The sequence below is a fragment of the Homo sapiens genome, chromosome 19, assembly GCF_000001405.40.
Source record: "Homo sapiens chromosome 19, GRCh38.p14 Primary Assembly".
NCBI lineage: Eukaryota > Metazoa > Chordata > Mammalia > Primates > Hominidae > Homo > Homo sapiens.
The window spans coordinates 13142788-13168890 of NC_000019.10; the positions used below are offsets into that span (position 1 = coordinate 13142788).

The 26103-nt window shown below is 55.2% G+C and overlaps 2 protein-coding genes and 1 pseudogene across 6 annotated transcripts, besides 20 other annotated features; 1 reads left to right on the forward strand and 2 right to left on the reverse strand.

The window, feature by feature from the left end:
* Positions 1–1270: 1270 nt before the first annotated feature.
* STX10 (syntaxin 10) lies at positions 1271–7588 on the reverse strand. 5 transcript variants are annotated; one of them, NM_001271609.2, is made up of 8 exons: positions 7352–7588; positions 6941–7110; positions 6712–6806; positions 6242–6304; positions 2501–2608; positions 1981–2083; positions 1790–1884; positions 1271–1699 (listed from the first exon to the last, which is right to left on the reverse strand). In NM_001271609.2, exons 1-7 carry the CDS (start codon positions 7384–7386, stop codon positions 1796–1798), a joined length of 663 nt encoding a protein of 220 aa, NP_001258538.1. In that variant the 5' UTR covers positions 7387–7588; the 3' UTR covers positions 1271–1699; positions 1790–1795. The 5 variants fall into 5 exon arrangements, with proteins under 5 accessions (NP_001258538.1, NP_003756.1, NP_001258540.1 ...); NM_003765.3 differs by having other exon boundaries at positions 1977–2083; NM_001271611.2 differs by lacking the exon at positions 6242–6304 and having other exon boundaries at positions 1977–2083; positions 2501–2598; positions 6786–6806.
* Positions 7099–7148: a silencer, noted in NCBI's record as "silent region_10195". NCBI's record gives its function as "represses an Ori minimal core promoter by ATAC-STARR-seq in GM12878 lymphoblastoid cells {active_cell/tissue: GM12878}" and the evidence as "EXISTENCE:reporter gene assay evidence [ECO:0000049][PMID:35858748]".
* Positions 7189–7348: a silencer, noted in NCBI's record as "silent region_10196". NCBI's record gives its function as "represses an Ori minimal core promoter by ATAC-STARR-seq in GM12878 lymphoblastoid cells {active_cell/tissue: GM12878}" and the evidence as "EXISTENCE:reporter gene assay evidence [ECO:0000049][PMID:35858748]".
* Positions 7469–7668: an enhancer, noted in NCBI's record as "active region_14112". NCBI's record gives its function as "activates an Ori minimal core promoter by ATAC-STARR-seq in GM12878 lymphoblastoid cells {active_cell/tissue: GM12878}" and the evidence as "EXISTENCE:reporter gene assay evidence [ECO:0000049][PMID:35858748]".
* IER2 (immediate early response 2) lies at positions 7624–12124 on the forward strand. The gene is made up of 2 exons (NM_004907.3): positions 7624–7765; positions 10157–12124. The coding sequence occupies exon 2, from the start codon at positions 10400–10402 to the stop codon at positions 11069–11071; it is 672 nt and encodes a 223-aa protein (NP_004898.2). The 5' UTR covers positions 7624–7765; positions 10157–10399; the 3' UTR covers positions 11072–12124.
* Positions 7689–7758: an enhancer, noted in NCBI's record as "active region_14113". NCBI's record gives its function as "activates an Ori minimal core promoter by ATAC-STARR-seq in GM12878 lymphoblastoid cells {active_cell/tissue: GM12878}" and the evidence as "EXISTENCE:reporter gene assay evidence [ECO:0000049][PMID:35858748]".
* Positions 8899–9258: a silencer, noted in NCBI's record as "silent region_10197". NCBI's record gives its function as "represses an Ori minimal core promoter by ATAC-STARR-seq in GM12878 lymphoblastoid cells {active_cell/tissue: GM12878}" and the evidence as "EXISTENCE:reporter gene assay evidence [ECO:0000049][PMID:35858748]".
* Positions 10039–10368: an enhancer, noted in NCBI's record as "active region_14114". NCBI's record gives its function as "activates an Ori minimal core promoter by ATAC-STARR-seq in GM12878 lymphoblastoid cells {active_cell/tissue: GM12878}" and the evidence as "EXISTENCE:reporter gene assay evidence [ECO:0000049][PMID:35858748]".
* Positions 10355–11238: an enhancer, noted in NCBI's record as "NANOG-H3K27ac-H3K4me1 hESC enhancer chr19:13263956-13264839 (GRCh37/hg19 assembly coordinates)". NCBI's record gives its function as "activates a minimal SCP1, AML or CMV promoter by ChIP-STARR-seq in naive H9 embryonic stem cells {active_cell/tissue: H9 hESC(naive)}" and the evidence as "EXISTENCE:reporter gene assay evidence [ECO:0000049][PMID:30033119]".
* Positions 11019–11128: a silencer, noted in NCBI's record as "silent region_10198". NCBI's record gives its function as "represses an Ori minimal core promoter by ATAC-STARR-seq in GM12878 lymphoblastoid cells {active_cell/tissue: GM12878}" and the evidence as "EXISTENCE:reporter gene assay evidence [ECO:0000049][PMID:35858748]".
* Positions 11299–11388: an enhancer, noted in NCBI's record as "active region_14115". NCBI's record gives its function as "activates an Ori minimal core promoter by ATAC-STARR-seq in GM12878 lymphoblastoid cells {active_cell/tissue: GM12878}" and the evidence as "EXISTENCE:reporter gene assay evidence [ECO:0000049][PMID:35858748]".
* Positions 12739–13058: a silencer, noted in NCBI's record as "silent region_10199". NCBI's record gives its function as "represses an Ori minimal core promoter by ATAC-STARR-seq in GM12878 lymphoblastoid cells {active_cell/tissue: GM12878}" and the evidence as "EXISTENCE:reporter gene assay evidence [ECO:0000049][PMID:35858748]".
* Positions 13269–13538: a silencer, noted in NCBI's record as "silent region_10200". NCBI's record gives its function as "represses an Ori minimal core promoter by ATAC-STARR-seq in GM12878 lymphoblastoid cells {active_cell/tissue: GM12878}" and the evidence as "EXISTENCE:reporter gene assay evidence [ECO:0000049][PMID:35858748]".
* Positions 13899–14048: an enhancer, noted in NCBI's record as "active region_14116". NCBI's record gives its function as "activates an Ori minimal core promoter by ATAC-STARR-seq in GM12878 lymphoblastoid cells {active_cell/tissue: GM12878}" and the evidence as "EXISTENCE:reporter gene assay evidence [ECO:0000049][PMID:35858748]".
* Positions 14349–14438: an enhancer, noted in NCBI's record as "active region_14117". NCBI's record gives its function as "activates an Ori minimal core promoter by ATAC-STARR-seq in GM12878 lymphoblastoid cells {active_cell/tissue: GM12878}" and the evidence as "EXISTENCE:reporter gene assay evidence [ECO:0000049][PMID:35858748]".
* Positions 14776–14885: an enhancer, noted in NCBI's record as "active region_14118". NCBI's record gives its function as "activates an Ori minimal core promoter by ATAC-STARR-seq in GM12878 lymphoblastoid cells {active_cell/tissue: GM12878}" and the evidence as "EXISTENCE:reporter gene assay evidence [ECO:0000049][PMID:35858748]".
* RPL12P42 (ribosomal protein L12 pseudogene 42) lies at positions 15123–16087 on the reverse strand (annotated as a pseudogene).
* Positions 15436–15495: an enhancer, noted in NCBI's record as "active region_14119". NCBI's record gives its function as "activates an Ori minimal core promoter by ATAC-STARR-seq in GM12878 lymphoblastoid cells {active_cell/tissue: GM12878}" and the evidence as "EXISTENCE:reporter gene assay evidence [ECO:0000049][PMID:35858748]".
* Positions 15586–15635: an enhancer, noted in NCBI's record as "active region_14120". NCBI's record gives its function as "activates an Ori minimal core promoter by ATAC-STARR-seq in GM12878 lymphoblastoid cells {active_cell/tissue: GM12878}" and the evidence as "EXISTENCE:reporter gene assay evidence [ECO:0000049][PMID:35858748]".
* Positions 20139–20538: a silencer, noted in NCBI's record as "silent region_10201". NCBI's record gives its function as "represses an Ori minimal core promoter by ATAC-STARR-seq in GM12878 lymphoblastoid cells {active_cell/tissue: GM12878}" and the evidence as "EXISTENCE:reporter gene assay evidence [ECO:0000049][PMID:35858748]".
* Positions 20809–20898: an enhancer, noted in NCBI's record as "active region_14121". NCBI's record gives its function as "activates an Ori minimal core promoter by ATAC-STARR-seq in GM12878 lymphoblastoid cells {active_cell/tissue: GM12878}" and the evidence as "EXISTENCE:reporter gene assay evidence [ECO:0000049][PMID:35858748]".
* Positions 22486–23063: an enhancer, noted in NCBI's record as "NANOG-H3K27ac-H3K4me1 hESC enhancer chr19:13276087-13276664 (GRCh37/hg19 assembly coordinates)". NCBI's record gives its function as "activates a minimal SCP1, AML or CMV promoter by ChIP-STARR-seq in primed H9 embryonic stem cells {active_cell/tissue: H9 hESC(primed)}" and the evidence as "EXISTENCE:reporter gene assay evidence [ECO:0000049][PMID:30033119]".
* Positions 24515–25142: an enhancer, noted in NCBI's record as "H3K27ac-H3K4me1 hESC enhancer chr19:13278116-13278743 (GRCh37/hg19 assembly coordinates)". NCBI's record gives its function as "activates a minimal SCP1, AML or CMV promoter by ChIP-STARR-seq in naive H9 embryonic stem cells {active_cell/tissue: H9 hESC(naive)}" and the evidence as "EXISTENCE:reporter gene assay evidence [ECO:0000049][PMID:30033119]".

Consider the following 26103-nt stretch of genomic DNA (forward strand, 5'->3'; position numbering starts at 1 on the left):
GCAAAACCACGTCTCTATTAAAAATACAAAAATTATCTGGGTGTGGTGGCGGGTGCCTGTAATCCCAGCTACTCAGGAGGCTGAGACAGGAAAATCACTTGAATGCGGGAGGTGGAGGTTGCAGTGAGACGAGATTGCGTCACTGCACTCCAGCCTGGGTGATAGAGCAAGACTCTATCTCAAAATAAATAAATAATAACATAGAAGCCAGTCATGATGGCTCACACCTGTAATTCCATTACTTTGGAAGGCTGAGAGAGGAGGATCAGTGGAGCCCAGGAGTTTGAGACCAGCCTGGGCAATATAGGGAGACCCTGTCTCTACAAAAATGAAATAGCCAGGCGAGGTGGCATGTGCCTGTGGTCCCAGCTACTTGGGAGACTGAGGTGGAAGGCTGCCTTGAGCCCAGGAGTTCCAGGCTGCAGTGAGCCATCATTATGCCACTGCACTCCAACCTGGGAGACAGAGTGAGAGAGACCCTGTCTCAAACAAACAAACCCAAAATAGGCCAGGCACAGTGACTCATGCCTGTAATCCCAGCACTTTGGGAGGCTGAAATAGGCGGATCATTTGAGGTCAGGAGTTCAAATTCAAGACCAGCCCGGCCAACATGGCAAAACCACATCTCTACTACAAATAAAAAATTAGTTGGGTGTGGTGGAGCATTCCTGTAATCACAGCTATTCAGGAGGCTGAGGCATGAGAACCGCTTCAACCCAGGAAGCAGAGGTTGCAGTGAGCCGAGATCACGCCATTGCACTCCAGCCTGGGCGACAGAGCGAGACTCTGTCTCAAAAAAATATAAATAAAAATAAAAAGATCAAGAGAACCTAAACCATTAAAAAAAAGACTCGCATGGGTGCGGTGGCTCCTGCCTGTAATCCCAGCACTTTGGGAGGCTGAGGCAGGCAAATCACTTGAGGTCAGGAGTTTGAGACCAACCTGGCCAACATGAGGAATCCCATCTGTACTAAAAATACAAAAATTAGCTGGGTGTGGTGACACACACCTGTAATCCAAGCTACTTGGGAGGCTGAGGCAGAATTGCTGGAAACCAGGAGGTGGAGGTTGCAGTGAGCAGAGATTGCACCACTGTACTCCAGCCTGGGTGACAAGAGTGAAACTCTGTCTCAAAAAAAAAAAAAGAAATCCGGAACACGCACATGTGCACACACACACTGGAGCACTTGTGCAAGCAGTGGCTTAGAATGGGAGTCCCAATCAGGGCTCGGTCACGCATTTGCAGTCAACACACACCACACGACACAAATACGTATAAAAAAGGCTGACATTTTATTTCCAGGTTGGCACGTGTATAAGGCACAGGGGCAAATGGCTTTGGGGTCCTGGAACTGGAAATGGAGACAGGTGTGTCTCAGGTGTCCCTGCCTCCACCACCCCCTAAGTGCACTTGAGACAGGACCAGTGGTGGTGGTTCCAGCCCAGGGTCCTGAAGGGTCCCACTGGCTCTAGGGGAGAGCCATGGGGACAGCTCCCCAGGCGGGACCCTCTACTCTCCAGCTACCCAGGAGGGACCCTCTCCTCCTAGGGGGCGAGGCCAGCTCCAAAGTGCTTGGTGGCTCCCCAGGCTTAAGGGACCAGCCTGCCAGGGAGGGCTGGGGTCAGAGAGAGAATAGTAAGATGAGAACGAGGAGAAGCACCCCCACTAGCACGGCGATGGCACACCACTGTCGGCGGTCTGGGAACGAGAAGGTCAGGGGTCACGGGGAGAGGGTACCACCTACAACCTGCCCCCACCAGGACTGACCCCTCCCCTGAGGGGACTCACCACTCGTCATGTGGGATACTTTGGCCAACTTCCTGAGGACCCCGTCCATGCGGGACTGGGTGTGGTCCATCTCTTGGGCGAAGGCATCCAGCATGCTGCCAAGAACAGGATGGCATCAGCCCCAGATGGCCCAGACACACCAGGGTGGCCGAGAGCCCCTGGCCCACCCCCAGGGTCCTGGCCTCACATGCCCTGCTCGTCCAGCTCTTCTCCAACGCGGCCGGACATGTGCTTCAGAACCTGGATGCTCCCAGACACCATCTCCAGCTGTTGATCCTGTTCATCCATGATCAGCTGCAGAGCGAAGGGGTGGGAGATGCTGTTGAAAACGACCCCAGAAGGCCAGGCGCTATGGCTTATGACTGTAATCCCAGCACTCTGGGAGGCCGAGACAGGCGGATCACTTGAGGCCAGGAGTTCGAGACCAGCCTGGCCAACATGGTGAAACCCCATCTCTACTAAAAATATAAAAATTGGCCAGGCATTGTGGTGGGCGCCTGTAATCCCAGCTACTAGGGAGGCTGAGGCAGGAGAATCACTGGAACCTGGGAGGCGGAGGTTGCAGTGAGCTGAGATCGCGCCACTGCACTCCAGCCTGGGCGACAAAGCGAAACTCCATATCAACAACAACAACAACAAAAAGGGACCCCAGACCTCAGATCAGTCTGCAAGGCTCTCCCCTCCCAAGATCCACCCCGCTGGCCCCAAAACCTGCTGTGTGGCCTGCTGCTCCTCGATGTAGCGAGATGTGGCCGAGACTGCGCTGGCATCCAGCAGGTCGCTGGGTGACTTCTGGGCAGCTGGCTTGCCTGCGAGTATCTGCAGGGGCACACAACATAGGCTCAGGGAGAGACCCCAACTCACAGCGGGGCCTGTGGGGCAAATCCCCACGGTGGTAAGTCAGGGGGGCAGACTCTGGGGCAGGACAGCCTGCATTCCCCACTCACCACTTACTAGCAAGGTGACCCAGAGACCCCATCATTTGGCTTCCTTGTGCCTCAGTTTCCTCATCTGTAAAATGCAGAGAGCAGGATGGGGCATGGTAGCTCATGCTTGTAATCCCAGCACTCTGGGAGGTGGAGGTGGGCAGATAACTTGAGGTCAGGAGCTCGAGACCAGCCTGGCCAACATGGTGAAACCCCATCTCTACTAAAAATACAAAAATTGGGCCGGGCACAGTGGCTCACACCTGTAATCCCAGCACTTTGGGAGGCCGAGGTAGATGGATCACGAGGTCAAGAGTTTGAGAGCAGCCTGGCCAACATGGTGAAATCCCGTCTCTACTAAAAATACAAAAATTAGCCAGGCTTGGTGGCGGGTGCCTGTAATCCCAGCTACTAGGGAGGCTGAGGCAGGTCAGAATCACTTGAACCTGGGAGGCTGAGGTTGCAGTGAGCCGAGATCACACCACTGCACTCCAGCCTGGGTGACAGGTTAAGACCTTCTCTCAAAAAAAAAAAAAAAAAAAAAAATTACCGGGTGTGGCAGTGCATGCCTGTAATCCCAGCTACTTGTGAGGCTAAGGCAGCAGAATCGCTTGAACCTGGGGGGCGGTGGTTGCAGTGAGCTGAGATCGCACCACTGCATTTCCAGCCTGGGTGTCAGAGTGACCTTGCCTCAAAAAAAAAAAAAATAAAATAAAATGGGAAGAGCTAGAATCCGTGTTTCCTGGGTTGAAATGAGGATTTAAAGAATTAATTGATGGGGGACACTTACAGCAGTGCCCAACACATAGTAATGCTAGTAAATGTCACATTTTACTATTTGTTTATTTTTGGGGGGATTTTAGCTGGGATTACAGGCACCTGCCACCACATCCAGCTAATTTTTGTATTTTTACTAGTGATAGGGTTTCCCCATGTTGGCCAGGCTGGTCTCGAACTCCTGACCTCAAGTGATCCACCTGCCTCAGCCTCCCAAAGTGCTGGGATTACAGGCGTGAGCTACCATGCCTGGCCCAACAGATGTTTGTTTGTTTGTCTGAGACAGAGTCTTGCTCTGTCACCTAGGCTGGAGTGCAGTGGTGTGATCTCGCCTCACTGCAACCTCCACCTCCCGGGTTCAAGCAATTCTCCTGCCTCAGCTTCCCAAGTATCTGAGATTACAGGTGATCACCACCACGCCTGGCTAATTTTTGTATTTTTTGTAGAGACAGGGTTTCATCATGTTGGCCAGGCTGGTCTCGAACGCCTGACCTCAGGTGATCCACTTGCCTGGGCCTCCCAAAGTGCTGAGATTTTAGGTGTGAGCCACCGTGCCCGGCTCCAACAGATGTATTTTAGAGTTTGGACTTGAATTCCCCCAAGGCAGCACATCTGGAAGGCACGTGGGCACTGCTATGGGATGACAAACTGGGAGGAGCCTCAGTCCCCCACCCTCCCCGACCCCACGTACGCTTATGAGGGAGAGAGAAAGGCTGGTGGTTCTCAACATATGAAAAATATCAACAGAGAACACCAAGAGAAAAAGTGGACTGACAGAGGTGGTTGGGAGAAACACAGAAACACACACACACACACACACACACACACACACACGGCAGGCACATTACAGAGGAAACTAGCAGATATTAGGATATGAGGGGGGAAAATGCAGATACACTCAGAGGCCAAGTGCACGCACCCAAATAGGTTAGGTGCATGCACAGATGAAAAGGCGGGGGCGGATCACCTGAGGTAGGGAGTTTGAGACCAGCCTGGCCAACATGGGGAAACCCTGTCTCTACTAAAAACACAAAAATTAGCTGGGCATGGTGGCACACTCCTGTTGTCCCAGCTACCCAGGAGGCTGAGGCAGGAGAATTGCTTGAACCCGGAAGGTGGAGGTTTCAGTGAGTCAAGATTGCACCACTGCACCCCAGCCTGGGCAACATGCCAAGACTCCATCTCAAAAAAAAAAAAGGAAGCTGGCCGGGCGCGGTGGCTCACGCCTGTAATCTCAGCATTTTGGGAGGCTGAAGCTAGTGGATCACAAGGTCAGGAGATCAAGACCATCCTGGCCAACATGATGAAACTCCGTCTCTACTAAAAATACAAAAATTGGCCGGGCGTGGTGGCTCACACCTGTAATCCCAGCACTTTGGGAGGCCGAGGCAGGTGGATCACGAGGTCAAGAGTTCAAGACCAGCCTGGCCAAGATGTTGAAGCCCCGTCTCTACTAGAAATACAAAATTTAGCCACGCATGGTGGTGGGTGCCTGTAATCCCAGCTACTCGGGAGGCTGAGACAGAATTGCTTGAACCCGGGAGGCGGAGGCTGCAGTGAGCCGAGATCACGTCACTGCACTCCAGCCTGGGCGACAGAGCAACACTCCGTCTCAAAAAAAAAAAAAAAAAAAAAAATTAGCCGGGTGTGGTGGCATGTGCCTGTATTACAGCTACTCAGGAGGCTGAGGCTGGAGAATCGTTGAGCCCAGGAGGCGGAGGTTGCAGTGAGCCGAGACTGCGCCACTGCACTCCAGCCTGGCAACAGAGTGAGACTGCATCTCAAAAAAAAAAAAAAAAAAAAAAAAAAGGAAGTTATGTGCGATGGCTCACGCCTGTAATCCCAGCACTTTGGAAGGCTGAGGCAGGCAGATCAGTTGATGTGAGGGGTTTGAGACCAGACTGACCAACATGACAAAACCCTATTAAAAATACAAAAATTAGGCCAGGCGCAGTGGCTCATGCCTGTAATTCCAGCACTTTGGGAGGCTGAGGCAGGTGGATCACCTGAGGTTGGGAGTTCAAGATCAGCCTGACCAACATGGAGAAACCCCGTCTCTACTAAAAATACAAAATTAGCCAGGCATGGTGGCGTATGCCTATAATCCCAGCTACTCGGGAGGCTGAGGCAGGAGAATTGTTTGAACCCAGGAGGCGGAGATTGCGGTGAGCCGAGATTGCACCATTGCACTCCAGCCTGGGCAACAAGAGTGAAACTCCATCTCAAAAAAAAAAAAAAAAAAATACAGAAGTTACCCTGGCATGGTGACGAGCACCTGTAATCCCAGCTACTTGGGAGGCTGAGGCAGGAGAATCGCTTGAACCCAGGAGGCAGAGGTTGCAGTGAGCTGAGATCAAGCCACTGCACTCCAGCCTGGGCAACAGAACAAGACTCTGTCTCAAAGAAAAAAAAAAGAGTAAAAGGCAGGCATGCGTCCTGGAAACAGGTGCACACAGGACAAATGGCATGGAAGCAGAAAGGAGATAGGTACACAGGCCCCCAGCCCTCTCCTGCAACAGGAAACCAGTATAGACCCAGAGGACACAGTAGAGAGGAACCCACGGACATATACACATAGAGAGGTTCAGGTGCACACACCGAGAAAGTGCAGGCAGGTAGACAGCAAGAAGATAACTGCCCACAGAGAGGACGGGCACTGTCGCAAAAGGGACAGGTGAACACGCACAGAGGGATCTGGCTTGGTTACCCCCAGGGGCTCAGGTGGGCAGGGTGGGTCAGGAAGGCTTACCTCTCTGTTATTCCTCTCCAAAAATGCTACGGCTGTTGGGCTGACCATATGGTCCTTCATTTCCTGGAGGTAAGGACAGCATTAGGGAGGAAAGACACTCAGGCTGGGCGCGGTGGCTCACGCCTGTAATCCTAGCACTTTGAGAGACCAAGCCGGGTGGATCACCTGAGGTCAGGAGTTCGAGACCAGCCTGATCAACATGGTGAAACCCCGTCTCTACTAAAAACACAAAACTTAGCCGGGTATCGTGGCAGGCACCTGTAGTCCCAGCTACTCAGGAGACTGAGACACAAGAATCGCTTGAGCCTGGGAGGCGGAGGTTGCAGTGAGCCGAGATTGCAACACTGTACTCCAGCCTGGGCGACAGAGCGAGGCTCTGTCTCAAAAAAAAAAAAAAAAAAGAAAGAAAGAAAGAAAAAAAAACACACTCAAACCTTCCCCCACTCCCCGCCTGCAGGACCTTTCCTGACCTGGACTGCCTCTCGCATCCGCTCCACGAACACCTTTCTCTCCTGCAGGTCCCCGGCTGGGAGCTTGAACTTGCCTGGGTTGGCTTCCACTATACGTGGGCTGAGAGTCAAGGGTCAAGGCCGGAGCCAGATATCATCCCCGTCCCTAGGGGTCCAGCCCTACCCGAAGGTGGGCTGCCACCGCAATGGGCTCTCCCATGCCACCCTCTGCCACAAAGCCCCAGGATATCGATGGTCTCTTCCAGGTCCTCGAGGTCCCACTCGATGCTGCGCAGGCCATTCCGCAGCTCATTGGTCGTCCAGTCCAGCTCCTCGCGTCCGACCGCCGCGCTTTCCTGCAGGAGCTCGCACCAGCGCTGGTACAGCCCGCGGGCCGTGTTCACCGCCTTCTGCACCTCGCTGCGGGCAGGGGCACGGCGGGCGCGGCTGGGGGCAGGCGGTCCTCCCGCCTGCCTCTGCCCCCGACTGCAAACCCAAACGCATGGGGGACTCCGGAGACCCCTATATACCCCTGCGTGCGCCTCCCACTCTGCACCCCGACGGCCTTGCCCAGCCCGCCGGGCACGCTGGGGCCGGCACCCGGGCACTGGCTGGCTTGGGTACAGAGCACCCTCCGCCCTCCCCCGTCGTTGTCACTCACCCTCGGACTACAAAAAAGGGGTCTTCGAGAGACATGTCAGTCCCTTCCCCCCCAGGCCGAACCCCCCTCCCGGCCTGGGTTCGCGGGCTGGTTCCCTCCCAACCGAGGAGAACGCGCCGCCACCCCCGCCCCCGTCACGCCACCATCGAGAGCCGGACCGCCAGGGGAGAAAGAGAAGCCTCGGAGGCCCGACGTGCGGACACTTCCGCCCTCTCCTCAGCCATCTTGGTTGTGGGCAGAGGCAGCTTCCGGTGCACATGCCCCCGCCCCTTAGCCCTCTCGTGCCGCACCGTAGGGGGCGGTGTCGGAGTTCTGTCTGGGCCTATTCGGGTCCGAGTTCGGAATTTCGGTTCAAGGCCCAGTTCCTCGGATTGTTCCTGCGCAACTTCAGTTTCCCTTCCAGGCACGGGCAATGTAAATAATGATAGCCTCCCTCATCTCTGGCGGCTGGGTATTATGGCTGGGGAAGGGGCTCATTCGATTCGTTGAAGCTTTTCATGGACTCCCTGAGCTGGCACCTGGGAGATCGTCCCATCCCAGGGTCCCGAGTGTCAGGTTTGGCTAGGGTCTGGGGGAGAGGTGGTCCTCCCTTCTCCCTGCGGGGGCGCGGTGAGGAGCGGGCCTGCTCCTCCGGGGAGTTCTGCCGCATTCTCCCAATCTCTTTCCTGAGAAGTGGCGGAGTTGGGGGCACTTCGAGGTCGCCTTGGGGCGAGGTGGTCGTGAGGGGGTCCCAGATATGCCAGCAGCGGGGGGAGGTCACCTTTGAGAAAGTGCGTGGAGGTGGGTTTCTTCAGAAGCGCGGAGTCTTTCTGGGTGCGAGCCTGGGGGTAGCGGGTGGTGGCTTTGAGGATGGTCTCCAGGGGGGCCCTCTGTGTGTGGGGTCTCCGTCTGGGTAGGGGCCAGGAATATCAGCGGAGGGACTCAGGGTCGTCCCTATGTGTGACAGTGGCGCTGTGTGTTGGGGAGCTTCGGGAAAGCACTTTTTTTGAGTGATAGGGGGCCTGGTCTCCCCTGGAGGGTGGGCGGGTTATCTGAGGGAGTCCTCGGAGGGTCGCCCCCTTGCGCGTCAGAGTTGCTGCGTGGGGTCTCAGAGATAGCGCCTGGGCTGGGGAAATCATTGTGGGGTCTCCGTGGTAAGGTTAGCGGGGTGGGGACGGCCTGCGTCTTCGGCAGGTCGTCGCAGTCTGGCACCATCGTTGAATGGGGACGAGTTTGGGAAGGGTATTTTAGGGGGGAATAACTTTTGAGTTCCCAGCGTGCGGGGGAAGGGCGGGACGGGAGGGTGTCCCAAGGCCTGAGAAGATCAGTGTGGGGCAGGGGTCAGGAATAACCTGGGAGGGGGCCTTGTATGGGGGAAATAATTGGGAAGAGGAGAGATGGGATGAAGGGGGCCTCAGCGGGTCGTCTCCTGTGTATGCAGGGTCGTTCTGCAGCGTCTCTGGGAGATGGCGTCCCTGGGAGCCCTCAGGTCGCCCCTACCCGCTGCGGGGTGCTTTCCTGGCGTCACGCCTTCCTGGCCCCTGGAGGGAAGGAAGTGAAACTCTCCTCTTCCCCCACCCGGCTGGAATGCGAGTCAGGAAGCCTGGGGCTCCAGCCTGCTCCGGCTGCCCGGGTCGGGGATGGGGAGGGGCGTGGCCGGAGCGCAAAGCCCCGCCCCTCCGCGCCCCCCCCCCGGAAGCCCCGCCGCCGGCCGCTAAGGCGATCACGGGCCCTGTCCTAATATGGGCAACCGGAAGCGGCCCGCGCGACTGCCCTACGTCACTCCGTCCAAATTTAGTTGTGGAAGTCAGCGGGCGCTGGTGGCGGGAAGGCGCCGCGAGCCAGTGCGGGCGGAAAGGGGGCGGGGGGCGCACCACCCCTTAAAGGGCCCGCACCAGGAATGAATGGAGCCATTCGAACAATTCTGCATCCTATTTTTGGAGGAAGTGGAATTAGTATTTCTTGGAGAGACGGCGCGTAGCGGAGGGTAGGGCGGAGATTTTCTATCTGCTCTGTCTCTGCATTGCTGGGTTTCCAGCTCCCAACCTAACCCCGCCTCCCCGAACGCGGAGACGGAACTCGGCCCCCTTGTTTGGGGGGCGGCAGCCACGTGTTCACGGGGACTGTCGTGCGCGCCGGGTTCGCAGCCGTGCGAGCTCTGAACCCACCCGTGGAGCTCCTGTCGCGGGAAACTGCGGGGGAATGGCTTGGTACGAATCACGGGAACCCGTAGCCCGGGGCGGGTCACCGCCTACAAGCAAGGGCTGGCGTACGCTAGAGACCGAAGAGCTGGAGGCCCCAGTGGCCCCCTTTCACAGCAGTAGCAAATATTGTTTGTTTAGTAAATATTGGCCTAGTGACTCTGCCTTGGTTTCCCCACTTGAAGGAAGCAGATAGAACAGTATCCTCCGAGGAGTGGAGGCTGGGGATCGGTGAATTATTGATAAAAGGAGAGCTCTTAACCTAGCCTGGCACGTTGTAAGCGCTGTTAGCATGATTATTGGTGCAGAAAACACTCATTAGACACACCTGGTAAATGCTAAGAACAGTGGCCACAGGGGATGTTCAGGCTGGAACCAGGGTCTTCCCCTGTGTGAAGGGAAACTTGCTGCCCACGACCCACTGGGGCCTCCAGACGGGAGCATGTGGGTAGGCCGTGAGCTCCACCCCCGGCCCCCCTCCCTTGGGCCAAGGCGCTGATGCATCGGCGGGGCTCAGAGAAAGGAGCCCACCCAGAAAGCTCAGCGTGGAGTCGGGGGACGCTCCTCCTCGCCAGGGTTCCCGTCCCCTTTCCCTGCTGGGTAAATCGCATTCTGTCTCTTTAAGGAGTGTTTGGCCGCGACGAGTTGGAAAGCCCGGATGCGTCCTTCGGTTGGGCGGGGTGTCTCAGTGACGTCACTGGGGGTATAAAAGGGCCTGGGTGGCGGGCGCCTGGGCAGAGCGTCCTAGCAGTGTCACTGCGTGGGTTGGTTTGTGTAGAGAGGCGTGAGCGAGCCCGTTGTCCGGAGTGCACCTGCTGCCTGTTCTGTCCCTCCCGGGAGCCCCCGCCGCTGTCGCCGTCGAGTCGCCATGGAAGTGCAGAAAGAGGCACAGCGCATCATGACCCTGTCGGTGTGGAAGATGTATCACTCCCGCATGCAGCGCGGTGGCCTGCGGCTGCACCGGAGTCTGCAGCTGTCGCTGGTCATGCGCAGCGCCCGGGAGCTCTACCTCTCGGCCAAGGTGGAGGCCCTCGAGCCCGAGGTGTCGTTGCCGGCCGCCCTCCCCTCTGACCCTCGCCTGCACCCGCCCCGAGAAGCCGAGTCCACGGCCGAGACAGCGACCCCCGACGGTGAGCACCCGTTTCCGGAGCCAATGGACACGCAGGAGGCGCCGACAGCCGAGGAGACCTCCGCCTGCTGTGCCCCGCGCCCCGCCAAAGTCAGCCGCAAACGACGCAGCAGCAGCCTGAGCGACGGCGGGGACGCTGGACTGGTCCCGAGCAAGAAAGCCCGTCTGGAAGAAAAGGAAGAAGAGGAGGGAGCGTCATCCGAAGTCGCCGATCGCCTGCAGCCCCCTCCGGCGCAAGCGGAGGGCGCCTTTCCCAACCTGGCCCGCGTCCTGCAGAGGCGCTTCTCCGGCCTCCTGAACTGCAGCCCCGCGGCCCCTCCGACGGCGCCGCCCGCGTGCGAGGCAAAGCCCGCTTGCCGCCCGGCGGACAGCATGCTCAACGTGCTCGTGCGGGCCGTGGTGGCCTTCTGAGGACCCCGAGCGGCGCTGCCGGAGCCCAGAGCGCGCGTCGAACCGTCGGCCCGAGGGCGCAGACCTGAGGCGAGGCCACCCCCCTCCATCCTGGGGGAAGCGCCCGCGAAAACCGTGGAGAGAAGCCGCCGCCCGGGCTGCTGAGAGGCCCGGAGAGGGACTCTGTCCCCGGGGAGCCATCGCCTTCAGTGTGCAGGGACGGCACCGAGGAGTCTGAGCCGGGGGCGCGGGCGCCTTCCGCAGAGACCTGCGCCCACAGGTGCTGTCTTAGTGGACTGGGACGTGAACCTTTCGCTCTCCTTCTGGACTGGGAGAAGGGAGGCTTGGGTGTTGTGTTTTTTGTTTTGTTTGTTTGTTTGTTTTTAAAGATCTCCTCAGGGTCGGACTTCATTTTGTACTGTGGGCTGTGCTGGCCCTTTCAAGGTTTTTCAAGAGTTGGTTTTGCGTTTCCAACCTCGGAGAATTCCAGGCACTCCCCTTCCCCCTCCGCTGACATACTTGTATAAGCGGTCATCGTTGCGTCATGGGGCAGGCGTGGGGAGCTTCCTGTCGCCTTGCGTGGGTGTGGGGCCTGGGAGGAGGTCCTGGGGCGTGCACCCGCCCTGGGCAGTGGGGAGGAGAGTGGCCTGAGTTACTTCACCCCCGCGTGCTGCTGGTTAATGTCCCGCGTCTCTGCACCTTCGGGTGGGAGCGGGGACTGATCTACTTTCACATTCTCAAGTTTTTCTCATCTGCATTAGAGGTGCCCAGTAGGTTCCCAGGTTCCAGCGTGCCCCTCCCTCAGACACACGGACACAATCAGCCGAGAAGTTCCTGGTCTGAATCACGAGAATGTGGAGGGGTGGGGGGTGTCAGTGGAAAGGCATAAGGCTGAGCTGAGACCAGTTGCTGGTGAAACTGGGCCAATCTGGGGAGGGGAACATCCTTGCCAGGGAGTTTCTGAGGGTCTGCTTTGTTTACCTTTCGTGCGGTGGATTCTTTTTAACTCCGTCTACCTGGCGTTTTGTTAGAAATGTCAGATAGGAAAATAAAAACCATTTGAGTAAAAAAGCCGGTGCTGTCTGGTTTTCTGCTGTGGTGGGGGAGGGGCGGGGTTAAAGCGTCAGGGGCTGGCAGCCGCTCGCTGGGGCCCCAAGAACCGGTCTGACCGGTTACCACGTGGGCGAGAGAGGGTTGGGCCCCCTTTTCCTTGCCCGGGCATTCCCTAACTGGTGGAGCCCCGCCTCCCCCAGATTTGGGGGTTCCCTTGAAATTGTCCTACAACTCCGGGACAGGGAGATCGGGGCTTTCTGAGTTGAGACAATAGTGCTAAACACACTGCCCCAAGCGGAGCTGGGGATCGATTGCACGCACTTTGAAGCCTTGAAAGGTGGTAGATCTCGCCCCCACCCCCTAGACCAAACTGAATCAGCTGTGGCCGGGGCCCTACAGTATCAGGTGGAGCTGAGCGGGTGAGCTTTGAAGGGCTCTTTAGTCCCCAGTTCCCGTATCTTCCTCGAGGAATCGTTGTGTGTCTCAGGCAGGGACGTGCAGCCTCAGTTTCCTCATCTGTGAAATGGGCCTCTAAGCAGCTTCTCCACCCGGCATTAGGTTTTTAAAAATGCCCATTAGAGCCCTAGTTATTTTCTTGGGTCACTCCCCAGCTCTAGAATAACCACCCCGAAACGAGAAAGCCCTTTCAATATACCCCACGTAGGTTTAAGAGTGGGGTTGTGGGCGTTGCCCCAGGGCGAAGGGAGGGGGCCTGTCGGGAAGACAAAGGAGTCGCAGGTGCGGGGAGTGGTGGCGGCGGCAGGCGCCGGGAAAGCGCTCGCCCCGCCCCGCCGACGGCTGGCTCTGCCGCCGCAGGCTTCCCATGACCCCAGGGGAACTGACCCCGTGGCCACAGGGTAGAAGGAGGGGCAAGCCGGCCTCAGAACGTCTGCTGGTGGAATCTGGGAGCTTTGGCTCCCCTCCCGCCCAACCCACACCCCCTTTCCTCTCCTGTGTGGATTGTGAAGGAGAGCTTCTCACCGTTCTCCAGCCAAGCTCGCCCCCACGGCTGCCTGATTCCTTCCTGGGAACACGTGGGGGGACTTTTAAAAGGCGCCACCTACTCCGAGTCCTGACCCACCCAACTCTCCCAGGGGACGTGGGGGCACTGGAGCCCCACACCGCAGGCGGTAGCTCAATGCACCCGCGTCGGAGTTCCTCCCCCGCGAGCGTGGCAAGGCTCAGGGAAGTCCCGGGCCCCTGGGGAGGGGGCCTTGCCGCGCATCCTGTCGCAGGAACCGCCGGGCCCTTCCTTCCGCGGGAAGCGGCTTGGCCGACCCCCGCCCCCGCCCGGGCCTCTTGGGGGTTTCCGGTGCCCGGCCACCGTGGGGCTGGGGACTGAAAGTGATGGGACTGAAGATGGGGCTGGAACAAACACACTACAGACACATCCCCTTAAGACACACCCATCCCCAAGACCCCACTGGACCCATCAGAAAAGGCAGCATTGAACCTTGTCACAGCAAATAACATTGGTGAGGCCTGGACTAATTGATTGGACAATGGCTGTGAAAACTAAAAAGGTCACCCATCCTGTGACCAGCAGGTTCCAGCAGGGAACCCCAAGCCTGCTGCAGGAGACTCCAGAAAGGTGTTTGCTGCTGGCTTGTACTAAATTGGCACAAACTGCAAACAGCACAGCCTACATGCCCATCCTCCCAGATGGGTCCTCCCCAGAGGATAAAAGGCCGGAGCCAGACAGAACTACACACACAGGCCACACAGATAATTCGGTACCAGAAACATGATGCTGAGTGACAAAGGCCAGCTGCAGAAGTCAGGTAAGAAGCACATATTCTGGGCCGGGCATGGTGGCTCATGCCTGTAATCCCAGCACTTTGGAAGGCTGAGGTGGGCAGCTCACCTGAGGTCAGGAGTTCGAGACCAGCCTGATCAACATGGTGAAACCCCATCTCTACTAAAAATACAAAAATTAGCTAGGCAAGGTGGCAGGCGCCTGTAATCCCAGCTATCCGAAGGCTGAGGCAGGAGAATCACTTGAACTCAGGAGGCAGAGGTTGCAGTGAGCCGAGATGGTGTCACTGCACTCCAGCCTGGGCTACAGAGGAAGACTCTGTCTCAAAAAAAGAAGAAGAAGAAGAAGAAGAAGAACATATTCTGGAGGGAGGGAAACAACCAGGTCTACTTTCGTTTTCTTGCTATGCATCCTTGAGTGAGTCACTTGACCTCTCTGGGCCTGTTTCCCCAACCGTATACTGGGGACAATAATAGTCCCTGCCTTTTAGGTTTGTTGTAAGGATTGAGATTACACATGTAATCCTTACAACAAACCTAGCAGAGTGCTGGCACGTAGAAAATGCTAAATGTGCTGGGTGCCATGGTTCATGCCTGTAACCCCAAAAATTTAGGAGGCTGAGGTGGGAGGATCACTTGAGGCCAAGAGTTTTCAGTGCAATCATGGCTCAGTGTAGCCATGTAGCCTCGAACTCCCAGACTCAAGCAATCCTCCTACCTCAGCCTCCCAAGCAGGTTGGACCACAGGCTCAGGCACCATGCACAGCTAATTTCTTTTTTTTTTCTTTCTTTCTCTTTTTCTTTCTTTTCTTTCTTCCTTCCTTCTTTCCTTTTTCTTTCTTTCTTTTCTTTCCCTCCCTCCTTCCCTTCCTTTCTTCCTTTCTTTCCTTTCTTTCTTTCAACTAGAGTCTCTCTATCACCCAGGCTGGAGTGCAGTGGCTTGATTACAGTTCACTGCAGCCTCGAGCTCCTGGGCTCAGGCAATCCTCCCACCTCAGCCTCTGGAGTAGCTGGGACTACGCCACCACACCCAGCTAATTTTTCTTTTTTTTCTTCTTCTCTCTCTTTTCTTCCTTGTCTCTTTCTTTTCTTTTCTTTTTTGTTTTTGACAGAGTCTCGCTCTGTTGCCAGGCTGGAATACAGTGGTGCAATCTCGGCTCACTGCAACCCTGGCCTCCCGGATTCAAGCAGTTCCCCTGCCTCAGCCTCCGAAGTAGCTGGGACTACAGGCGCACACCACGACACCTGGCTAATTTTTTTTTTCCCACCGGTTGTCAAATGACCCTTTATTGAAATATTTTTCTTTGTGCTTCTTAACTAGCTGGGCATTTCACAGCACCACTGTGGGTTTTTCTGGTTTTTTGGGGTTTTTTTTTTTGAGTCGGAGTCTTGCTCTGTCGCTCAGGCTGGAGTTCAGTGGCGCGATCTCGGCTCACTGCAAGTTCCACCTCCCAGGTTCACGCCATTCTCCTGCCTCAGCCTCCTGAGTAGCTGGGACTACAGGCGCCTGCCACCACGCCCGGCTAATTTTTTTGTATTGTATTTTTAGTAGAGACGGGGTTTCACCTTGTTAGCAAGGATGGTCTTGATCTCCTGACCTCGTGATCTGCCTGCCTCGGCCTCCCAAAGGGCTGGGATTACAGGCGTGAGCCACCGCGCCCAGCCATCACCACTGTTGATGTCATCTATGATGTCACGAGGGTGGCGGCCATCAACATTACGGCCTACAGACTGGGCAGTCCCCAGGATCTCTTTGATGGTTCCAGAGAGTTCTCTGGCTAAAGATCGGTGCCACATCTGTCGAGTAATGTTGACGATCTCATCAAAAGTGATATTCCCATTGTGTCTAATGTTTTTCTGTTTCTTTCTGTCTCTTGGTGGTTCCTTGAGGGCTTTAATGATCAGGGCAGAGGCAGAAGGCACCACCTCAATCTGGGCCTGTCTGTTCTGAATGGTCAGTTTCACTGTAATCCTCAGGCCCTTCCAGTCACCCCATTGCCTTGGCAAGGTCATTACCAAGCTTTTTTGGAGACAGACCCAGGGGGCCGATCTTGGGGGCTAGTGCAGAAGTGGCACCCCCTTCACCCCGAGTGCACCTCAGGTATACAAATTTGATCTCGTTGGGGTTGAACTTTGGCAGCATGGTGGAGGTGATTGGTTTTGGAAAAACCTGGATTCTGGACAACCGAAGAAAGCTGCACCTTGGGCTCCTCCAAGCCGAAAGCCCAGCTAATTTTTTTTTTCTTTTTGACACGAAGTCTTGCTCTGTCAACCAGGCTGCAGTGCAGTGGTGCAATCTTGGCTCACTGCAACCTCCACCTCCTGGGTTCAAGCAATTCTCCTGCCTCAGCTTCCTGAGTAGCTAGGATTACAGGCACCCGCCACCATGCCTGGCTAATTTTTGTATTTTTAGTAAAGACGAGGTTTCACCATGTTGGCCAGGCTAGTTTCAAACTCCTGACCTCAGGTGATCCACCCACCTCGGCCTCCCAAAGTGCTGGGATTACAGGAATGAGCCACCGCACCTGGCCGAAATTTTTTGTATTTTAGTAGAGACGGGGTTTTACCATGTTGGCCAAGATGGTCTCCATCTCGACCTCGTGATCCGCCCGCCTCAGCCTCCCAAAGTGTTGGGATTATAGGCATGAGCCACCGCGCCTGGCTCTTTCTTTTCTAACAGGGTCTTGCTCTATTGCCTAGGCTGGAGTGCAGTGGCACGATCTTGGCTCACTGCAATATCTTCCTAACAGGTTCACGAGATTCTCCCACCTCAGCCTCCTGAGTAGCTGGGATTGCAGGTGCACACCACTGCGCCTGGCTAATTTTTATATTTTTTGCAGACACAGGGTTTCACCATGTTGCCCAGGCTGGTCTGGAACTCCTGAGCTCAAGTGATCTGCCTGCCTCAGCCTCCCAAAGTGCTGGGATTACAGGCGTGAGCCACTGCACCTGGACGTATTTATTTTTTACTTAGGATTTGTGCCCTAACTCAGAAGTTAATTCTGTTAATTCTACCAATGTCCAGCCTGAGCCTGAATGAGTGAATGAGGTTGTTTTGGGTAAACAGGTGTTACATGCTTAATGTTTATCATCTCATTAAATCAGTGGCTTCTACATGACTCTTAGAATTTCTCAAACCTCAGATGGTTGAGGGGTCAGGATATTTGTGATATTTTCATAACTACTGTACTATTATTATTATCATTTATAGACAGGGTCTTGCTATGTTGCCCAGGCTGGAGAACAGCAGCGCCATCATAGCTCACTGCAGCCTCCACTGCCTAGGCTCAAGCAGTCCTCCCACCTCAGCCTCTGCAGGAGCTGGGACCGCAGGCCTGTGACACCATGCCCAGCTAACTGTATTCATGTAATAGTTTTCTTTGCGTTAACCCACTTATTAATCACTCTCCCTATTTAGAAAGTAACAGTTTTTTAAAAGGTTACAATGAAAATAAAACAATGTCAAAAGATCCTGCTGAAACAGTAACAGGTTTAATAGTTTCAAAGAGAGATTAGCCAGCCTTAACGACACATTGTTTCCAAGGGAAGAAAACTATGCTTGGGCTGAGAAGGGGGATGCAAGTTGACAAGGGAGAAATTTGGAGAGATCCAGTCCACGTTATTTAAATAACATTGAATTGGGCTGGGCGAAGTGGCTCACGCCTGTAATCTCAGCACTTTGGGAGGCCGAGGTGGGCGGATCACCTGAGGTCAGGAGTTTGAGGCCAGCCTAGCCAACATGGTGAAACATCACCTCTAATAAAAATCCAAAAATTAGCCGGGCATGGTGGTGAGTGCCTGTAGTCCCAGCGACTTGGGAGGCTGAGGCAGGAGAATTGCTTGAGCCCGGGAGGCAGAGGATGCAGTGAGTCAAGATCACACCACGGCACTCCAGCCTGGGCAACAGAGTGAGACTGTCTCAAAAAAATAAATAAATAAATAAATAACCTTGAATTATTTTGCCACACTGTCCCAGAATATGGAAAATTCTGCTTCTGGAAGAGGGACAAACTCCTATGATGATCTGCAAGGCCCTGCTTGATCTGGGGCCATCCCATCTCTGGATGAATCATGCATCACCCTCTGGCCACATGGACCTGCTTTTTGTTCCTCATACTTCCACAGCCTTCTCAGCCACATGGCCTTTGGATATGCCGTGACCTCCTGAAGATCTTTCAGCTTCCTTGCTCACCTAGTGAAGCCAGCTCAGCTCAAGGGGCAAATCCTCAGGGAAGTGTTCCCTGTCTAACCCTCTTTTGGCCTAAGGACTGCTTTATTTTATTTTTTATTTTTATTTTTTGAGATGGAGTCTCTCTCTGTCACCCAGGCTGGAGTGCAGTGGTGCGATCTCAGCTCACTGCAACCTCCACCTCCCGGGTTCAAGTGATTCTCCTGCCTCAGCCTCCCGAGTAGCTGGGATTACAAGCTCCCACCATCACACCTAGCTAATTTTTGTATTTTTAGTAGAAATGGGGTTTCACCATGTTGTCCAGGATGGTCTCGATCTCCTGATCCGCCCGCCTCAGCCTCCCAAAGTGCTGAGATTACAAGCATGAGCCACCGTACCTGGCCTATTTTATTTTATTTTAATTAATTAATCTATTTTTGAGACAGGGTCTTGCTTTGTCGCCCAGACTGGAGTGTAGTGGCATGATCCAAGGCTCACTGCAGCCTCAAAGTCTAGTGCTTAAGGGATCCTCCCATCTCAGCTTCCAGCATAGCTGAGACCCCAGGCACACACCACGATGCCTGGCTAATTTTTTATTTTTTTTGTAGAGATGGAATTTCCATGTTGCCCAGGCTGGTGTTTTTTATTTATTTATTTAACCAGTCTCTGATGGGAGGCAAGACCCCTATATTTGACACTCGGATCAAGAGCTACTTTATTTAAAACATTTGGCCAGGCATGGTGGCTCACGCCTGTAATGCCAACACTTTGGGAGACCGAGGCAGGAGGATCACGAGGTCAGGAGTTCAAGACCAACTTGGCCAATAAGGTGAAACCCCATCTCTACTAAAAATACAAAAATTAGCCAGGCATGGTAACACGCGCCTGTAGTCCCAGCTACTCCAGAGGCTGAGGCAGGAGAATCGCTGGAACCTTGGAGGAGAAGGTTTCAGTGAGCCGAGATGGCACCACTGCACTCCAGCTGGGCGACAGAGTAAGACTCTGTCTCAAGAAAAATAAAGAGACCAGGCGCAGTGGCTCACACCTGTAATCCCAGCACTTTGGGAAGCCAAGGTGGGCGGATCACAAGTTCAGGAGCTCGAGACCAGCCTGGCCAATATGGTGAAACCTCATCTCTACTAAAAATACAAAAATTAGCCGGGCGTGGTGGCAGGAGCCTGTATCCCACCTCTTGGGAGGCTGAGGCAGGAGAATCGCTTGAACCCGGGAGGCGGAGGTTGCAGTGAGCCAAGGTCAAGCCACTTCACTTTAGCCTGGGCGACAGAGCAAGACTTCATCTCAAAAAATAATAATAAAATAAATTTTTGCGGGGCTGGGAGTGGTGGTTCATGCCTGTAATCCCAGCATTTTTGGAGGCTGAGGTGGGCGGATCACTTGAGGTCAGGAGTTTGAGACCAGCCTGGCCAACATAGTGAAACCCCATCTCTACTAAAAATACAAAAATTAGCCAGGCGTGGTGGCGCGCACCTGTAGTTCCAGCTGCTCGGAAGGGTGAGATGGGAGAATCGTTTGAACCCGGGGCCGGGGGGCTGAGGTTGCAGTGAGCTGAGATAGCGCCAATGCACTCCAGCCTGGGTGACAGTGAGACTCAGTCTCAAAAAAAAAAAAATTTTTTTTTGTTAATACTTATCACAAGTGCAATTTTACCTTTGTAGAATTAAACCGTTGTTTCTGAGTTAGTTTCCTCTTGTAGCCTACTGCCTCCAAGTCTAGCAGATGGTTAAGCGGTTTTTGTGAATGAATGATGCCTTTGCAACCTTCGTTTGAGATCTGTCCTCTTAACGTCCACTGTGTATATATGAGGAAACAGGCCCACAGAGTTTCGCTCTGCAAGACAGCAAGTAAAGGACAGCTCTAGTCGGGTCCTCTATCCCGAAGCCTCCTCCCCACTCTGCCCTGCCCTGCCGTGCAGGACCCAAAGGAAGGGCGCCCCAGTTCAGCCTCTGTAGATCTGGGAAAGGGCCGGGCCACAGGTCGGGACCAATCCAGAAGCAGCACCCAGACCGGTTTACCCGGTTCCAGGACCTTGGGCGAAGTCCACCCGCCCGAGGGCAGGGACGACGCAGGCCACGCCGCGGCCCAGTTGCTAGCCAGGCAGGGTGGGGATTTGATCTTGCCAAGGAAATGTGAGCGGGAGGCCGAGCGTTGGAGGTGGGTAAGTCGTCACTATGCAGGGCGGAGCCATCCTGTGTCTATCACGCCCAAGGGCGGTGCATGCAAATTGACTCCCGCATTTGGCTTTTCCCCGGGCTCCGTCTCCGCGCGCTGCAACCCGCGACTTCCAAGAACTCCCCGCGTAGTCAGCTGCCCGGGCCACGCCCCCTTTCCGGACCCGCCCTGCCCGCCCCAGGGAGGCGGGGGCGGAGCTTGCGGCCCAGCGGGAAGGCGGAGGCGGGGGTCGCGCCCAGGTCCCGGGGGCGTCAGAGGCAATGGGAAGTCGTGGCTTCTGCACCGCCCTTGGGGGTTCGGCTCCCAATCAGGGAAAAAGGGCCGAGAGAATGAAAGAGTAATGAGACTTGCGAGTTTGAGGCTCACACTACTCTCTTTGGGTTGGGGGTTGCTGAAGCCTCCACGTGTATTCAGGGAGCCCCGAACCTCACACCTCTGTCCAGGGGAGCTCAGAACCCGCCGTGTTCTGGAAAGCCTACACCTTCCCCGGTTTTTTAGTGTCTAGGGGAGCCCACAACCCTCACAGCCGTGTCTAGTAGCGCTCAGATCCACACACCTGTGTTTGGGGGAGCCCAGATCTTCTCTACCTGTGTCCAGATGAGTTCAGAGCCCCGACGTTTGTCCAGGAAAGCCCACCTCTGTCCAGAAGCGCTCTGACCAGGACCTTTCCTGTTTCCTGAGGCTCAGCCTAGGGGGTCATCCCACCCAGGTCTGTGTTAAGGGGAGCTTGTGTCTCCCCAAACATGTCCAAGTGAGCTGAGCTCAGGAGCTGAGGCCTCCCCATATCGTGCTCCCCGCCTGGCCCTTTGGTGAATCCCTTTCTCAGAAGAAACCCTCAGGGGCCCTAGCCCTGCTGCCCTTCCCTGCACTGTCTTCGAGCCTCCTGGCCCAATTGGCCCCTCCCCCAGTACACTGTTGAGTCTTAGTTAAGACATAATCCCAGCATTCACTGTCCCCCATCCCCCAGCTCTCCCGCACCTCGGCGGCTGGCCGGGCCCCCGGGAGTGCCGTCATCCCAGCCGGCTGGCCACCCGACTGGCACCAATTAATTTCCTCCTCGGCCTGTCCACCCAGGGCCTCGGCCTGTCTGGTTGCCAGCTGCTCACCCTCAGCCAGCCCGCCCCCTCGGGCTCCCAGGGAATTGCCAACAGTTCTCCTCCTTCCTGCAACCCCCCCACCCCCAATCCAGGCCACCCCACCCAGCACAGTTAATCAGAAAAAGCTGACAGTTAGGACCTGGAGGAGTGATCTGAAATCAGATGGAGGAGGGGTGGGATGTTAAACTTTCGGACCCAGGGATGCTTGGGGTGGAGCGGGGGCATGGCTGGAGGGAGGCAGAGGATCCAGTTTTACTTAAGAACCCCAAATCAAAGGCTTGTAGCTTCCAGATGGGGACTGCAGGGAGGGCTGACCCCCTCCCGCATACACCAGGCGGGCAAGGTGGAGCGCCCCTCCTCGGAAATTGCCCCCCGCCCAAGATGCGTCAGTGACAGCTGTGCCTCCTCAGCCCGCACCCAGCCGGTTTCCTTTTCCTGTGCACACTCTCCCGATGGGCTGGCCTTCAGCCTGGAGAGACTCCACGGCCCCTTGGAAGGGGCTCCCCAGAGGGTCTTCCTGGACGAGGGGGAGGGGACAGGCTGAAGAACAATGGGGCTTCTGTGGCTGCAGGACGCCAGGCACTTCCTGTTAACCCTTTCCTCGGGGTGCAGCTGCAGGGAGCACCTCCCAGGTCCCGCCTTGTGGGAAGGGGCAGAGGCAGCCTGAGGGGAAATCTTGTTGCGGGAATTAACTGTTGTGTTAATTGAGGCTTTTGTGAGTGTACTTAGGAGGGGTGAGGTGAATCACACCTTTTCTCACTTGATGGAGTTACAGGGCTTTCTCCTCTATTGCTGAGGGCTGTGCAGTCAGGGACGGGGCAGGGCTAGCCTGGGAGAAGCCTGTGCACTGAGCTCAGAGACGTTCAAGGCTTTTCCCCAGATAGGTTACACCAGGATCTCCAGGGCATGGACAGGGATGGGGTCGGGGAACCCAGGCATCCTAGGTGAATCCAAGGAACAGCCATGTCTGCAAACCACTGTTCTAGCTGCCTTGCTGGGCTTACCTAGGGGCCACGATCCCTGAGTCAGTTCCCTTGGCAGCCTGGGTCTCAGTTTCCCTTGGCTTGTAGAAGTTCTTTCAGGGGCCTACCAAGAGGACACGGCAGTCTAGGAGCTCCCTAAGGGGCAGGAGTGGGCTGGGAGCCTTGGAAACGGTTTGTTTCTCCTGGGAGCCCTGAGAAGTCATGTTGGGGGAATTAACTGCTGTGTTAATTGAGGCTTCAAGCCAAGTCCCCTCTGTTTACACAGAGAGTCTGAGAAATGCCCTCGGAAGATTCCGAGAGCCTCCAAAGGCCCCAGAGACTTTGCTTCTGCCCTGGAGGCTTCTGGTTTTTTACGGGTAAGATAACCTCTCCCATAGTCAAGAGAGAGACTTACTGATGCTTATGGCAGCCCCAGGCCCTGAAGGTATGCTGTACTTGGTCACTTCCGTGCATTTGTTTAATCCTCACCACAAGCCTGGGTCAGGATAAAAAGTAGGCACTTCACTCTTTTTTTTTTTAGGGGTCTTGCTATGTTGCCCAGGATGGTCTTTAACTCCTGGGCTCAAGTGATCCTCCTGCCTTCGGCCTTCCAAAGTGCTGAGGTTACAGGAATGAGCCACCGTGCCCAGCCCAGCCCTAAAGTAGGCCTTTTTTTCCCCCCGCGACGGAGTTTCACTCTTGTTGCCCAGGCTGGAGTGCAATGGCACGGTCTCAGCTCACCGCAACCTCCGTCTCTGGGTTCAAGTGATTCTCTTGCCTCAGCCTCCTGAGCAGCTGGGATTACAGGCATGGGCACCATGCCCGGCTAATTTTATATTTTTAGTAGAGAGGTGGGGTTTCGCCATGTGGGTCTCGAACTCCCAACCTCAGGTGATCCGCCCGCCTTGGCCTCCCAAAGTTCTGGGATTACAGGTGTGAGCCACCGCGCTCGGCCTTTTTTTTTTTTTTCCTTCTGAAGTGGAGTCTTGTTCTGTTGCCCAGGCTGGAGTGCAGTGACGCGATATCAGCTCATTGAACCCTCTGCCTCCCAGGTTCAAGCAATTCTCCTGCCTCAGCTTCCCAAGTAGATGGGATTACAGGCATGCACCGCCACGCCCAGCTAATTTTTGTATTTTTAGCAGAGATGGGGATTCACCATGTTGGCCAGGCTGGTCTTGGAACTCCTGACCTCAGGTGATCTGCCTGCCTCAGCCTCCCAAAGTGCTGAGATTACAGGTGTGAGCCACTGTGCCCCACCAGGTAGGCACTTTCATTAGCCCCATTTTACAGATGAGGGAACTGAGGGGAACTGAGGCACAGAGTGGTTAAACAAAGTGTCCAGGGTTACCCTGTCCAGTAAAGCAAAGCCCATTGACATTCTTCCTCTCCTGGATTTTTTTTTTTTTTTGAGATGGAGTCTTGCTCTGTCGCCCAGGTGGGAGTGCAATGGCCCAATCTTGGCTCACTGAAAGCTCTGCCTCCCAGGTTCAAGCAATTCTCCTGCCTCAGCTTCCTGAGTAGCTGGGATTACAGGCGTGCACCACCGTGCCCAGCTAATTTTTGTATTTTTTTTTTTTTTAAGTAGAGACGGGGTTTCACCATGTTGGTCAGGCTGGTCTCGAACTCCTGACCTCGTGATCTGCCCGCCTCGGCCTCCCAAAGTGCTGGGATTACAGGTGTGAGCCACCACGCCCGGCCGGATTTTTCTTCTTTTCTTTTCTTTTCGGTGGGGAGGAGGAGAGTGTGAGGACCTTTGTCCTGGTTGGTGAACTTTTGCTTAAACCCAGCTTCTATCTCTGGTTCTCAGATAAGGAACCAGCTCCTTCTGGGAGCTGAGAGCCGCACCCCAGGTCTCCTTGCCACTCCTGGGCTACCTGTTTTCTCTTTCCTCATATCCAGGGCTGATCACTCACCAGGTTCCCTCTTAGAATCATTTGCCACTTCACTTCATTTTCCTCTCTTCTCCCCTTTCTGCAGGATGAACACTTCCCCAGGGGTCAATCTGTGCACGCTCAGTCCAGGGGCTGGGTAAAGACAAAGTTTTTTGTTTGCTGTTGTTCACTTGTTTATTTAAATTTATTTATTTTGAGATGGAGTCTCGTTCTGTCACCCAGGCTGGAGTGCAAGGCGCGATCTCGGCTCACTGCAACCTCCGCCTCCCGGGTTCAAGCAATTCTCTGCCTCAGCCTCCTGAGGAGCTGGGATTACAGGTGTGCACCACCATGCCCGGCTAATTTTTGTATTTTTAGTAGAGATGTGGTTTCACCATCTTGGCCAGGCTGATCTTGAACTTCTGACTTCGTGATCCACCTGTCTCAGCCTCCCAAAGTGCTGGGATTACAGGCGTGAGCCACTGCGCCCCACCCTCACTTGTTTATTTACTTGTTTTGTAAACATTATTTACTGAGCATGATCAAACTGCTAGACTGGAGAGGCTGCTGCAATCTCCTCCCTCTGCCCCCGCCATTTCCTGGTACCCATCCTTGCTGGTGGTGTCTGCAATCAGCGGGGCCCTGGCTGAGTTCACGGGAAAGGAAATGGCTCATTGCTTCAGCCTTTAGACCGGGGGGCAGGGAGGGCCTGTCGGGAGGCCGCCTAGTCAGGGGCGTGTCAGAGGCCAGAGGGGCCGGGGCCCAGCAGCTGGGGCTTGGTAAGCTCTGGAGCCTGGGCTCCAGGCCAGCTCGCTGCCAACCTCCACCTGAGACCACCCCACCCCCAACCCCCTTCCTTCTCTCCCCTGCTGCCGAGGCGCGCCCTTCCGGAGTGAAACTTTGGTTTCTCACGACCCGGAAGGCTTGAAGCAAACCTGCAATTACTCACTGCCTGGTCTGTGCGGGCTGCAGCTCTCAGACTCAGGATGAGGTGGCGGTAGGTGGGGTGGGGCTCTTGGGACCCTTTTACCCCTTCGTGCTGCTGGCTGGGGGAGGCCACTAAAGTCTGCGCGCTGCCTTCCACGCGTTCTCCAGACACTTTCCAAATCCCTGCGGACACTACCTTATAAACAGATACTGGAATTTTCAAAGTACTGTCATGCTGTTTGGGACCAGAAATTCCCTCCCATGAGGGTTGGATATGAAGCCAGTTTGGAGGGGGAAGCTGAGGGTGCATGCCCCTGGATCTACCAAAGCCTTCTCTTCAGTCTGGGAGGTTTTTTTTCTTTTTCTTTTTCTTTTTTGAGACAGAGTCTCACTCTGTCGCCCAGGCTGGAGTGCAGTGGTGTGATCTCAGCTCACTACAACCTCCACCTCCCAGGTTCGAATGATTCTCCTGCCTCAGCCTCCCGAGTAGCTGGACGACAGGCGTGCGCCACCACACCTGGCTACTTTTTGTATTTTTAGTAGAGACAGGGTTTCACCATGGGTTTCAGAGGGTGCAGTGGCTCACGCCTGTAATCTCAACACTTTGGGAGGTCGAGGCAGGTGGATCACTTGAGGTCAGGAGTTCGAGACCAGCCTGGACAACATGGTGAAACCCTGACTCTACTAGAAATACAAAAATTAGCTGGTGGTGGTGGCATGCACCTGTAGCCCCAGCTACTCAGGAGGCTGACTCAGGATAATCAGGAACCCGGGAGGAGGAGGTTTCATTGCTCCAGACTTTGAGACTCCATCTGAAAAAAAAAAAAAAATTAAGCCAGGCAAAGTGGCTGATGCCTGTAATTCCAAAGCTTTGAGTGGCTGAGGTGGGATGATCACTTGAGGCTAGGAGTTCGAGACCAACCTATGCAACATGGCAAGACCACCACACCCCCATCTCTGCAAAAAATTAGCCAGGTGTGGTGGCGCACACCTGTAGTCCCAGCTACTCTAGAGGCTGAGGCGGGAGGGT